Genomic DNA, 14,567 nt, shown 5'->3' with positions numbered 1-14,567 from the left:
AAGTTAGAAAAAGCACAACACAATTATATCAAACACTCTTTCAGACCACAGTGGAATATAACTAGAAATCAACTCCAAAAGGAATCTCAAAACCATGGAAGTACATGGAAATTACATAACCTGTTCCTGAATGATCATTGGGTCAAAAATGAAATCGCGATGGAAAGTAAAAAATTATTCGAACTGAATGACCTGACACAACCTATCAAAACCTCTGGGACACAGCAAAGGTGGTTCTAAGAGGACAGTTCATAGCCCTAAATGCCTACATCAAAAAGTGTGAAAGAACACAAACAGACAATCTAAGATCACACCTCAAGGAACTAGAGAAACAAAAAAAAACCAAACCCAAATCTAGCAGAAGAAAGAAAAAACCCAAGATCACAGAAGAATTAAATGAAATTGCAACAAAAAAATACAAAAGATAAATGAAACAAAAGCTGGTTCTTTGCAGAGATGAATAAAATTGATAGACCATTAGCAAGATTAACTAAAGAAAGAGAGAAAATCCAAATAAGTTCAATAAGAAATGAAACGGGAGGTATTACAACTGACACCACAGAAATACAAAAGATCAGTCAATGCTACTATGAACGCTATGCATAAACTAGAAAAACTAGAAGAGACGGATAAATTCCTGGAATGGTACAACCTTCCTAGCTTAAATCAGGAAGAATTAGATACCCTGAACAGACCAATAACAAGAAGTGAGATTAAAATGGTATTTAAAAGTTACCGAAAAAGAAAAGTCCAGGACCAGACAGATTCACAGCAGAATTCTACCAGATATTCAAAGAATTGGCACCAATCCTATTGACACTATTCCACAAGATACAGAAAGAGGGAAACCTCCCTATATTATTCTATGAAGCCAGTATCACCTTAATATCAAAACCAGGAAAGGACATAACCAAAAAAGAAAACTAGAGTCCGACATCCCTGATGAACATAAATATTAAAGTCCTTAACAAAATACTAGCTAACTGAATCCAACACCATATAAAAAAGATAATCCACCATGATCCAGTGGGTTTCATACCAGGGATTCAGAGATGGTTTAACAGATGCAAGTCAATAAATGTGATTCACAGCATAAACAGAATTATAAGCAAAAATCACATGATCATCTCAACAGATGCAGAAAAAACATTCGAAAAAACCCAGCATCGCTTTATGATTAAAACTCTCAGCAAAATCAGCATACAAGGGACATACCTCAAAATAATAAAAGCCACCTATGACAAACCCCCAGCCAACATAATACTGAATGGGGAAAAGTTGAAAGCATTCCCTCTGAGAACTGAAACAAAACAAGTATTGCCACTCTCACCACTCCTCTTCAACATAGTACTGAAGTCCTAGCCAGAGCAATCAGACAAGAGAAAGAAATAAAGGGTATCCAAATCAGTAAAAAGGAAGTCAAACCATCACTGTTTGCTGATGATATGATTGTTTACCTAGAAAACCCTAAAGACTCCTCCAGAAAGCTCCTAGAACTGATCCAAGAATTCAACAAACTTTCCGGATACAAAGTTAGTGTACACAAATCAGTAGCTCTTCTATACACCGACAGTGACCAAGCTGAGAATCAAATCAAGAATTCAACCCCTTTTACAATAACCACAAAAACAACAACAACAACAACAAAACACTTAGGATTATACCTAACCAAGGAGGTGAAAGACCTCTACAAGGAAAACTACAAAACACTGCCTAAAGAAATCATAGGCGACACAAACAAATGGAAACACATCCCATGCTCATGGATGGGTATAATCAATATTACAAAACGACCATACTGCTGAAAGCAATCTACAAATTCAATGCAATTCCCATCAAAATATCACCATGATTCTTCACTGAATTAGAAACAAATTCTAAAATTCATATGGAACCAAAAAAAAGTCAGCATAGCCAAAGCAAGACCAAACAAAAAGAACAAATCTGGAGGCATCACATTACCTGATTTCAAACTATACTATAAGGCCATAGTCACTAAAACAACACAGTACTGGTATAAAAATAGGTATATAAAAATGGGACAGAATAGGGAAGCCAGAAATAAGCCCAAATACTTGCAGGAACTGATCTTCAACAATGCAAACAAAAACATAAAGTGGGGAAAGGACACCCTTTTCAACAAATGGTGCTGCGATATTTGGCTAGCCACAGGTAGGAGAATGAAACTGGATCCTCATCTCTCATCTTATACAAAATCATCTCAAGATGGATTAAGGACTTAAATCTAAGATCTGAAACTATAAAAATTCTAGAAGATGACATTGGAAAAATCCTAGTCATTGGCTGAAGCAAGGATTTTATGACCAGGAACCCAAAAGCAAATGCAATAAAAACAAAGATAGGTAACTGAGACTTAATTAAACTAAAGAGCTTCTGGATGGCAAAAGGAAAAGTCAGCAGAGTAAACAGACAACCCACAGAGTGGGAGAAAATCTTCACAATCTATACATCTGACAAAGGACTAACAACCAGAATCTACAATAAACTCAAACAAATCAGCAAGAAAAAAATAATAATCCCATCAAAAAGTAAGCTAAGGACAAGAATAGATTATTTTCAAAAGAAGATATACAAATGGCCAACAAACATATGAAAAAATGCTCAACATCACTAATGATCAGGGAAATGCAAATCAAAACCACAATGTGATACCACTTTACTGCCGCAAGAATGGCTATAATCAAAAAATCCAAAAATAATAGATGCGGTGAACAGGGAACACTTCTACACTGCTGATGGGAATGTAAACTAGTACGGCCAGCAAGGAAAACAGTGTGGAGATTCCTTAAAGAACTAAAAGTAGAACTACAATTTGATCCAGCAATTTCACTACTGTGTATCTACTCAGAGGAAAATAAGTCATTATATGAAAAAGATACTTGCACACGCGTGTTTATAGCAGCACAATTCACAATTGCAAAAACGTGGAACCAACCCAAATGCCCATCAATCAATGAGTGGATAAAGAAACTGTAACACACACACACACACACACACACACACACACACACACACACACATATATATATAATGGAATACTACTCAGCCACAAAAAGGAATGAATTAATAGCTTTCACAGCATTATTCTAAGTGAAGTAACTCAGGGATGGAAAACCAAACATCATATGTTCTCACTTATAAGTGGGAGCTAAGGTATGAGGATGCAAAAGCATAAGAAAGACACAATGGACTTTGGGGACTCAGGGGGAAAGGGTGGGAAGGGGCTGAGGGATAAAATGCTACAAATAGGATGCAGTGTGTACTGCTCAGGTGATGGGTGCTCCAAAATCTCACAATCACCACTAAAGAACTCACTCATGTAACCAAACACCACCTGTTCTCCAATAACCTATGGAAGTAAAAAAAAAAAAAAATTAAACCTAAAAAAACCCCACAATATACTCCAAAAGTTAAAATGAGGAAATTAAAAAATACAATAAAGATGAATGTAATGAGAAAGAAAAATTAAAGTAAATAAAGACAAGCAGAAAGCTTGAAAAAAAATAGATCTCTTTCAAGTCTGATTAAAAAAATGAGAGATAAAAATATAAAAGATTAGAGATAAGAAGGGAGACATAACTATAGTTACAGGAGCAATTAAACAAATTGCATGAGAATATGACTCATGAAGAAGCGGCAAGGATATAGAAGCAGAAATAATATTCAAGAAACTATTAATCAACCTGGAATAGTTCTAGCCAACGTTCACCTACAACACACTTACTGTGCCCTTAAAAATAATATTATGACTTCTTTCCTTGTGCAAAGCAATATTTGATGCTACTTTATTATTTAATCATTTGGTTAAATATTATAAACACTGGAGTCTAATTGTTGTAATACTGTATTCTACATGTAAGCAGAATAGATTGCACTGTAAGGAACACTCCCTGTACTGCGGGAGTGTGGGGTTATGTACCTCCTCCCATTTTCCTGCTATTCAGCATAAAATTATATGCTTTTTGAATTTTATCATCTTAGTTACTAATATTCAGCATTCATATGGTAGTCAGAGGTTAATTTCTGCTACTGAAATGCTAAGAAGCAGGTAGACTCTTTGTGGTATAAGGGTTTCTGGAGTCCTTCTACCTGGACTACTGCTTCTCTTTCTGATATCACTTCTAACTTTGTTACTTTCCATCCAAACGTGTGTGTGTGTGTGCGTGTGTGCGCGCACGCGTGTGCACGCGCTGTATCTGTGTGTTTTAATCAGATGCTTCCTAAGATATTGCAGTCTTTGCTCACATAAACTTTCAATAGTTCTGTATTATCTGCTTGATCAGACTTTAACTCCTTAAGATGAAGCTCACAGCTCTTGGTCATCTGATTGCTACACATCTATTCATCTATTTCTACTGCTACTCAATCAAATCACTATATTCCCATTATCCTGACTGGAGTTGGAATTTTTTCTAGACTAGAAAGTGTCCCCTGAAAAATCATCATCATCTTCACCTCACCTCCCATTCTCCAACCACCATACACTCTGGCTTTTCTTCATTTAGAATATCCATCATCTCATTTCCATACATAAAAGTCCCGACCCCTATTTACAACCTAATTAAAACCATACCTTCTCAAAGCTTCCCTTACTGTACCAGTATGCTAACATATATAATGTTTATTTTCTTCTCTCCCTATTGAGGTTAGACAGGAATGTCTCTGTAAATGCATAGGAGTGCTTGGTTTCTTCAAGAAACAACAAAGTCAATATTTTTGTCTATTCATCTAGGAAGTGAAAGTCAGCAGAGAGAATTAGAAGAAAAAAATACAAATTTTACTATAACATAGTTAGGTATCATTAGCACATACGGTCATTACCAATACAAAGACAACCAAACAGGTTGCCACAAAATAATGAATTATCCAAATATTTTGAGGAGTGAGTGGTTGCTTAGGCTTAATTAGACCTGGGAAATAAAAGGTCTAAAACAATCAGCATAAGCCTTTTGGACACATCTCCAATGTATACATTTCTGTATTTATGTAACCTGTTCATATATGCTATGTGTGTGCAAGTGTATGTGTGTATATACATATACCAATAAATTACTTGCATCATAAAACATATTCAAAAGTTAAAATTTTAAAGAACAAGGGAAAATGAAGGTACATTTATACGGAAGTTTTTTTTTTTTTTTTTTTTTTATCCTGCACCAGTTTATCATGATGCTCAAATCATATCTTAGAGACATGATCTCACTAGTTTTAACGAGAGGACAGAATGTAATAATAAAAAAATTAGCTCATGGAGTAGGTGATTAGGCCCTGCTGGATGCAGGTGGGGAGGGAAGATGTTGGGGGAAAGACGAAAGTTGGGAAAGGAAGAGGGACATATTTCAAGGAAAGCGGATTCCCCACCAAGTCAAATATTTATCTGACAGATTCGAACTGGTTCAGAGCTCCCCAGAGGCAAGAGTTCTTCTGTGGGACTTGAGAAAACATGGGTGTTTTTCTGTGGATTCTGACTTACATGGGTGAGACAGCATCATTGGTTTAAGGGATCCAAGGCTTTAAAGGGCATGCTCCTTGATGTAAGATGACCCATAGAGTTCAAGACCCACGAAGGTCAACACAGGTTTCTCTTCTCTCTCTCCCCCCAAAACTATATGCTACAAAATGTCTACATTGCTCATTTTGGCATTTTCGTATATGGCCTTCATTTCCCTGGAATTTGGTCAATTTATATTTATTGATTTCTATCCCTCTCAATAACATCCCTCTTCCCAACAAAGCACCTTCCCCACCATGCACACACAACACAGACACACAAATACAAAGAGACATACACACAATGGCTTCGTCCAATGCAGAGCAATTAGCAATTACTTGAAATCTTTTCAGAAATAAGTCCCCCCACCCCAAATTAACACAACTCTTCATCTGAGAGTACTTTTCTATTTTTCACCAATATTGAATAAAACAACACATAGTTTTATATATTTGTGTGCATATTAAAATGTTCATATCTAAGCATAGTGTGGTACCTTTCAAACACCAATTTTCTTCTTTAAAAATTCCTTTCAAAGATCCTTTTTGATTATTGAATGTGTCATAGTCTATTTCTTGCATAAAATACTACAAAAAATACTTCCCAAAACTCCTCCAGTGCCTAACTTTCTCACTGTAAGTGAGTTCAGGCCCCTTTTCTCATGATTAACACAGATGGAAAGACTGCCATGGTGTTTATCTTTTTTATTCCCCTCAGAATGGTATAACTCTGCATAGGTTATCTGTTAACCTACTCTTTTTCAAAGAATGCCTACTCAAATATTTCAGTCCCCTTTCCTTAGGAAACATGCTCATATTTCAGTTATCTTTTCTTCTTCACAAATAAGAAATGAGGATGGGGAGTGAGAGTCACTCCTGAATGTTCCTTGGCTATCCTGCTTATCCACTGGTTGAAGAACATTCCTGGTTTGTGGAACACTCGCTGTTCTGTTTGTTTCTGACTCGCTGGTTCCCATTTCAGCATTAGCTAACATTGCTCCATGTCTTTCTCTCTTGGCATACTGGAGGTCTTCGTGTATCACTGCATGTCTCTCTTCTAGCCTTCGCTTTATTGTCTCCAACTTCATTGTTACAGACCCCATAAACCATTTGCTGGATCAAAACTGAACATAATTAGCACAAAGTCATTTTCCTCCTCTTTAAATGGCTTCCTCCTGAAAAGCCCTGGGGTTTTCTTCAATCAGCTGAAGTAGCTAAAGTTTTTAAAGTAGGTTTTCCCTCCATCTATTTCCAAATAGTCCACCTAAATACTTTTACATTAAAATAGCTTTAAAATTATGTGTTAAATCAAATACTCTGACCTTAATTTTTCAGTACTTCAGGGCATCTACTACTTCGGAAAATGGAGTTGACATATTACCCACTTAAACTCACCCCCCACATATACAATCATTTTATTACTTTCCAAATTAAATTGATTGTAATTTGATTTAATTTTATCTGAAGCATTTAAATCTAAATGCCTTAAAACCATTTTAGAAATTTAGTAGAGCAAAATTAAACCCACTTTGCAGATGGAGCAAACTTACCAAAAGAAGTAACATTCTAGCTCTGAATACATGAACCCATAAAATTGCTGAGTTCTAGCTTTCTACAATTTTTATATCTGATTTCCATAAAGACTGTATGTAGGTCAGGGTTGATAACTCAAGGGACTACAAAGGCTAAGTCAGACCTTAAACAACAGTGTAGCCTGGAGGAAGATCAGGTGACCTCAAAGACATGGAATCTATCCAGAACTGCTACTGCTTCTAATCTGATCTGTCCCAACCAAAACCTGAACCAGTGTGACTGAATCTTCTTATGTTTTGAGAACGGCCAAAAATAAAAATTTCTAATATAAAATCTCTTACTTTTAAAATGTTGGTTGTTAATCTAAAAATGTTTGATACTGCACTAAGCAAATTAAACAATTCAAACTGGATTCAGCCTGTAGACTAACATGCAGTTGGTAACTTCTGTTGTTAAATATCCCATAAGCCACTTAGCCACACCTTAAACTCCTTTAACATTACTCAAACTGAGTTGATGGAAAGCAAGAAAGAATAATTTTCTAGAAGGTTCTCACAGCTAGCACTTAAATAATACTCAAAATTAAATCACAAGTAACATTTTTAGTTTCATGTATAAGCCTATATACATAATGGCCACATATGTGGAATTTCCATCCTATTTACAAATCTATTATTAATACCTGAAATTTTCTTCTACCTGCTATGTCTCAGTTTCCGAATGGCTAATTGAAGTGCCTCATTACTCCTCATACATTCTTCTCTAACCCGTTTACTTTGATATTATTTTCTGAGCAGGCTTCTTCTGATTCAATTGTCTGTAGAAAACTTATACTATCAACTTCCTTAGCTTTAACTCATCTTATTTATGACCTTAATTCTCAATGCATGGCACATCTCTCCCACCTATTAGATAAACTTAATTTGATCATTGACAAACAACAACTAAACTTAAAAAAATGACTGAACAATAAGCAAAAAAAGAGTTTTCTGACTGAAGAGGCTTCCAATCGTGAACAGACAAAAACATTTTGCTTCTTACCATTTTACTGCCTTCGCAGTAAAAAGAGCAACTCAACTGAAGTTAAAGTACTGATATCAGGAACTCAGCAGCTTAAAACCAAATGATTATCCACCAAGCCCAATGTGTCCCTGAAGGCCTGGAGATTACACATGTAATAATCAGGCTGCCCTTGCCAAAAGGAAGGCTTAGTTCTTCATTTTATTTATTGTATTTATTGAATGGAGCCATTCCTTGATAGCCCCTGGGAGCATTAACAAACATGAAAGAAACTACCAAAGGAAAGAAAGAAATATATAAATAACTAAAGACCATGCCACTAAAGTTTATAATCTGGAAAGTGCAGTACTGAAATAAGGCACAGGCTCCTACGCTCCTTGAAGTACTCTGTTCTCCTTTACAGTAACGTAAGAATTGCTTAATTTGCCAAAAACGTAAACCTCTAAAGTCTCATACGAGTCCATTTGCAGAACATCAATCCTTTCACTTCTAGCTTTCATATCATGCCATGTGACAATGTGATATTCTTACATTTTGCCTCTGGTTGTATGTTATTATCAGCTGTGTTTTAGCATCATAGTAATCATATATTAAGACTCCCATGAATAAACTTTTTAAAAATAAGTTTTCTCTATAGCTTCCAATACCTGGACTTTGAGGGAATTGAATTAGAAAAATGTAAAGGAGATCATTCTTTCATTTAGGAATGGAAAACACAGAACCTATGATATTTTGTGTCTGTGTCCTTCGTTTTTTTAAATCCATGATAACTCATTTCATACTCTTCTTTATAATGGTATTCTTTTAAATGTACAGGTATATAAAATAAAGCCTAAAAACACAAATTGAAATCAATGTCATCCAAATGGCTTAAAACTTTGTTCTGGGTTTTTTTTTTTTTTGGTATGTTTTTAAATTTTGTTTTGTTTTTAAGAAATTGAGACAATTTTCTTTAGGTTCCATGGAAATTGGCTTCATAAAATGTGGCTGGAAAAGAAATCATCCCATATCAACATCAAGCACAGTCAAATATGAATGTATGCTTTTTGTAGCTACCTCTTTCACTATTCTTACCACTGACTTTTCACTTCCTTAACAGCAAAATTATGGGCCTTTGGCTAGGTCTGGAGCTCTTAGTAAGTTTTTATGTCTGTTCCAGGCATTCTCTGTGATTTTACGTGAGGGATTAGGGAGAAGAAAGGAGTAGAGTGGGTTATAAAATACAAAGTTAATTTGAGCATGTAAGAGTAATAGAGTGGGAGTAGAAATAGAATTCCACTCGCATGTTTAGTTTGTGTTTACTTAAGAAACGCTCCAATGCTAGATTTATTGAGAGGCCGCTTTCTGGAGAGAAAGGAGAAAAATTTAAGTAACTCACCTTAAATGACAAATGAATGCAACTTGGTTGGCAGTAACAATCTAAGGACATTGTCCCCGGTGCTAAGGAAAATCCTTCCTTCCCTCAGGCTTCATTCCTCATGTCTCAGTTAACAAGCAGTGAGTACCTGGGTGTGTTGGAACTCTGCCGAGGAGACAGATACGCTACAGACCTTTTGCCAAAAGGACTCAATCTAATAGAATCTGTGTTTCACAAATACGCTTTACATAAATCCATTACGTGCCCAGAGCCAGCTTGTTTTATAAATGCATTTTGTGAAATGCAATGGAATTAACCCAACATTTATATCTCAACCTCAAAGTACATTATGAGGATTGTAAATTTCCCAATTACAACAGATGAAAATGAACATTGTACTTATTTACTTTGGGTGGACATGGAGAGGGGAGGGGAAGAATAATTTTCTTAAATGTTTAACCAACACCAGATTTCACTTACTGCCATTTCTAGCTTCCTATTTCATACCAACTTTATTTTCTTTGTTTTTTGTTTTTTTGTTTTTTCCCTTTCTGGATTTCCAATAAAATAACTGAAACTAGAATTCTGCTGGAAGGAAAAAAAAAAAAAAAAGGAAATTTTTAAGTCCCAAGGTGAAGAAATCGCCTAAGGGAGTCAAGAGAACATAGACAAGATTTTTTAGTTTGTGCTGCTTTGCATCTTTAAGGAGGCAATTAGTTATTCTTCTGTATTACTGACTACCCCTTTTTCTCCATAACTCATATAATACAAATGGCCTTAGAGAGGACATATTTTAAGTGGGACATTTATTATTGAACAAAAGTATGGACTCTAATTTAAAGTTACTAGGAAAGCCCTTTCAAATTTCACAGCAGCAAAAACTTGGCCGGGCTGTTCTCAACTCTCATTGCCATTTCTAGCCAAATCATTATTGACTTCAAGATAGGATTAAAGAACCTGAAAAGATAACATGAATCTGAGAGTTTTATATATTTGAAGCAACCCAATCCAAGCCAGCACAATGTTAATGCAGAGGCTAAATCAATGAGTGTAGGATGAAGCACTATGGTGTCTACACTACCAAAAAAAAAAAAAAAAGAAGAAGAAAGAAAAGAAAGACAGGTTCATCTGTTTGATGGGACTGTCAAGTTATCCAATGGGTCATTTTTGTCACAGCAGCATGTAGGAAGCACAATCAACATTGATCTAGGGAGAACTGTTGGCAAAATTAAAGATTTTACTATATGACTTTGCAGACTGAATATACACTTCATATTACCAAAAAGGAAGTTGGTTTCTGAGATCTGTCTTCACTCATTAACTATGCTTAGCAAAATCACAACTGGAATTTTTTAAGGGAGATTTTTAAGTAAACACGGTGAAAAATCCATTTATCCCAAAATCCCACCAAGAAATGAAATTAAAACATATGGAACCCCACAGAAAAGATTCATTTTCTGACCATGTATCTTTAAAACCTAAAATCAAATTGGAGAGCTTCTTTCTCAAAGTATAGATTCCTGTTACTTCCTCTTCAAGAAAGGCATACCTAAAAGGTTATTGATTTGGTTCTGAAGGACACAGTGTTTATTATGGAGGAAGCCATCACTGGGTACAAGTGTGAGAAATTAATGATGGCTTTGTAAGTGTCCATGCCGTGGTGTGGAACCAGTGGGGCAACTGTCAATCTATATGATAATACATTCCCAAACTTCATAAAATCAGTGATGTGAAAAAGCATTGATTTCTTTGTGAGCTAAACAGAATTTGTCAGAGAGAAAGAGCAAGAAGTTTACTGAAGTTAACACCTCTGCCTGCAGAGTTGCTCACACTTCAATTTGTATTTGCTTAAAGAGTTTATGATGTGATGTGTAAAATTTCTTATTTTTATTTCTGGCCAAGAATGAGAACAGAAGATACATTATGTACCTCTTTTGAATATGTAAAATATTGAAAAAATGTTTTAAAAAGAAAAACAAAGACATTCTACCTGTATATTTTAAAATAAGCATCTCTCACCTAGTTTGAACTCTGGCTTCAATACCTCCTTTGTGCCTTGCCAGCCACACTCACATACAGAGTTGCTTAGTGCTTCTAAGTACATTTCTCTTCATGTAATTCTGACTGCATTGCAACTAGTACTGTAGGAAAGAATCAGGACACTATATCAAGGGTTTATTTCTTATCAGTATGCAGGGATTTACATAGACTCGCAGAAAGTAAAAATTATTCAAATACGATGTTTCAAATAATATGAAAAAAATGAAACTACTATTGGTCTACCAAATATATGATGAATTTCAGATTTTTTTCATCCATAACTCTCCTAGGTAAATTCATGGCAAGCATTTTTTGTGCCCTTGGCTTCACCAGAAACCCTCCCTTATTAGATGAGTTTTTTAGATGCATATAACTTAAATGGGAGAAGGTGCAGGTCTATAAATATGTATAAATAACTCTGTATAGACGGTTCCCTCTATAGGTATAAGAATACCAACTATGAGGGACTTGCTAAAATTCCTTGTTTAAAATGTGCCATAAATTCTTGGATTACAAGTGATTTTATTTATTAGGCAATCAAATTGCCTTCATTTAAATAGTATATGACACACACAATGAAGCTGAAAAAGGACACCAGTAAATGGATTCAACGTATGCTTTTATGGAAACTTCTAAAAGTAATTTCCTATTAAATAAGCACCTCAGAGTGTCAAATGTGCCAAGTGTCAGAATTTTGTTAAAATTCAAAAGGAGTCAAGTACAGATTTTTCCTTGAGAGTACACCTTGATTAGCTACATGAACGGAGGCATAAGTAAGACACATCCCCTTGTCCCCACTGTAGAATAAATTATTTCAAAATTAAACATAAATTTAAATTCAAAAAAGTGACATCTTTTTGAGTATGTGCGACTTACCCAGGAAATGATGTATTTTCAACACAGTTTTGAGATTAAATGATATTTAGCTATGCTTTTGCATTCACAACAAGCTGTCCACCTGCAAATTTCCTTTTTCTTTTTTAAATGAAAGGAAATACTTAAAGCTGCTCTGGCAGAAGTTTCTAATATTTTATATAAACATTCTTAACTGATCTATTTGTAAACATTTTAATGGTAATGGTAATTCTTTTAGCAAACATGCCATCTATTCATAACAAACCACATAGCATTTGATGTTTTCGTCTTAAATCAGCTGTAACCTAATGCAATTTATCTTTTTAAAAAAATGTTTTTGACTAAACACACTTCGGAATTGCTCAGAAACCCACAAAAAAGCACCTTATCTCTTTAATGACTTTGCTTAGGCTTCTCTATATTTACTGCTTAATGATCGGAAGGATTTAATTTTCAAAGTTTCATTAAAATCCACCTAGAAAGCTGATGGATAGGCAATAGTGATTTGTGACAGAAGATGGGGGAAACCATTAACCTACATAGTTGCCAAGGGGAAAAGTAAACATATAAAGAATTCTTTTTCTGAAGACAAGTCTCTTCCTATTTGTCATTATTAAGCTCCAGAGCACCTGTTCCAAGTTTGATCTTCAATACGGATATGAGGCATTGCCGCCTGGAAATGAAAGTCTAAGATAAGGTGGGATTCTTAAGAGATCGTCACGAAAAAAAATAACCCAGGTTTCCATTTACTGGGAAGGGGAAATCAATACAAAGACCTAGAAACTTGTGGAGAGAGGACATTTTCTAGGTATAGGTCATAGTTTATCAAGCCGCCTCTTTTGCAATGTAATTTACTTGCTAATAAGACCAACTGACTACACCTGAATGCTGTGTTATCATCAGAATGTGATTTTTAAATTCTCTTCTCATTTCTTGTGTGCTGGAGGGTTGCTGGTTTACTTCCCCCCAGCTCACACTGGGTAGACAAGGTCGATTTCAAAGAAAATGAATGGTTTTATGACGCCGCTTCATTAAAAAACAAAAACATTCAAAGCCCCACGTGGTGCAGTGCACAGAACGTTAAAAGGTATTTAAGAAGCAGGCCTACCGTTCTCATCATCTGATTTGTTTTCGTTGTCAGAGTCAGTCAGGGTAAGGGCCGAGTTTTCACGACTGGACAGGCCGGAACTGCGCCTGGATTTTATCCCTCTGCCCCACAGTCTGATGGCGTGTTCTGGAGACATCCCTCCCTCGGTGTCGGAGTCGGCGTCAGACCCTGTGCTAAGGGAGTAGCCCTGGTGAAGGATCCCCATGTCGGAGCAGTAGCCGCTTCGGTGTGGGGAGGGCTCACAGATGCCCAGTTCGGCAAGGGTGAAGTTGGTTCCTAGGGTGACAGTGACAGAGAAGCTGATTAAAATTTGTGAGATGCTTTACAAAGTTAAAATTTATCCTTACAAAAAAGCAGCCACTTTTCCCATCTGACAGATACATCAAATTCACCATGGTGTACAGAAACAGATCTTGGACAAGAGTATTCAGGACAGTGGGATACCTTTGAAAAACAAACAAAAGAAAGAAAGTAAATATCGATGATAGGACAAAATGCTCAGATTTTATTTCAGAGATTTTTAGGCATGTTGACCCTGTTGTCTAGGTAGCTCCATGTAGCTGAAAAAACCCGGAACGTATCAAAATAGCTAATATACACCAAGTGCTTACTTGTGCACATTTTACTTTGCAACTTTTATATTTTTTAATGTTTTGCAACTTTATGAAGATGATAATATTACTGTAATCCTTTTGTAGATGAGGAAACCGGGGACCAGAGGATTTAAGGCACTTATCCAAGGCCATGCATCTTGATGGTCGCAATACCTGGATCTGATCCCTCCGCAGGGATCAGATTAAGGTTCAGGTCATACAGCGTTAACCCTCTAATGAATACGAGTGGCAGCTAGAAGACCTGGGTGCCCGTCCTAGTTTCCACTGACAAGTCTCATTTATGGTAATTCCCTTAACTCCACGAACCCCAATTTTCTCATCTATAATATCTGGGCATTTATCTCTTAAAATTTTCTCAGGGTGATTGTGTGCCTCATATAACATGTGCCAAACTAGTCGTTTTTAATAAATGCTATCATGCATTGCTTAAAGAGAGGGATACGTTCTGAGCAATGCATCCTTAGGTGATGTTTGCTCTGAGAACATCAGAGTGACTTACACAAACCTAGATGGTCTAGCCTATTACACA

At 35.9% G+C, this 14,567-nt stretch overlaps 1 protein-coding gene across 9 annotated transcripts in view; it reads right to left on the bottom strand.

Annotated features, from left to right (window-relative positions):
• TENM2 (teneurin transmembrane protein 2) overlaps positions 1–14,567 on the bottom strand; it is a 1,285,129-nt gene that overhangs the window by 875,260 nt on the left and 395,302 nt on the right. For all 9 annotated transcript variants that reach the window (XM_047417418.1, NM_001395460.1, XM_017009661.2 and 6 more), the window contains one exon: positions 13,425–13,700. In XM_047417418.1, coding sequence (XP_047273374.1) covers positions 13,425–13,700 — 276 coding nt within the window. The remainder of the gene's footprint in view (positions 1–13,424; positions 13,701–14,567) is intronic.

Source organism: Homo sapiens, chromosome 5, assembly GCF_000001405.40.
Source record: "Homo sapiens chromosome 5, GRCh38.p14 Primary Assembly".
Lineage (NCBI taxonomy): Eukaryota > Metazoa > Chordata > Mammalia > Primates > Hominidae > Homo > Homo sapiens.
This window is presented reverse-complemented; position numbering and strand designations above follow the sequence as displayed.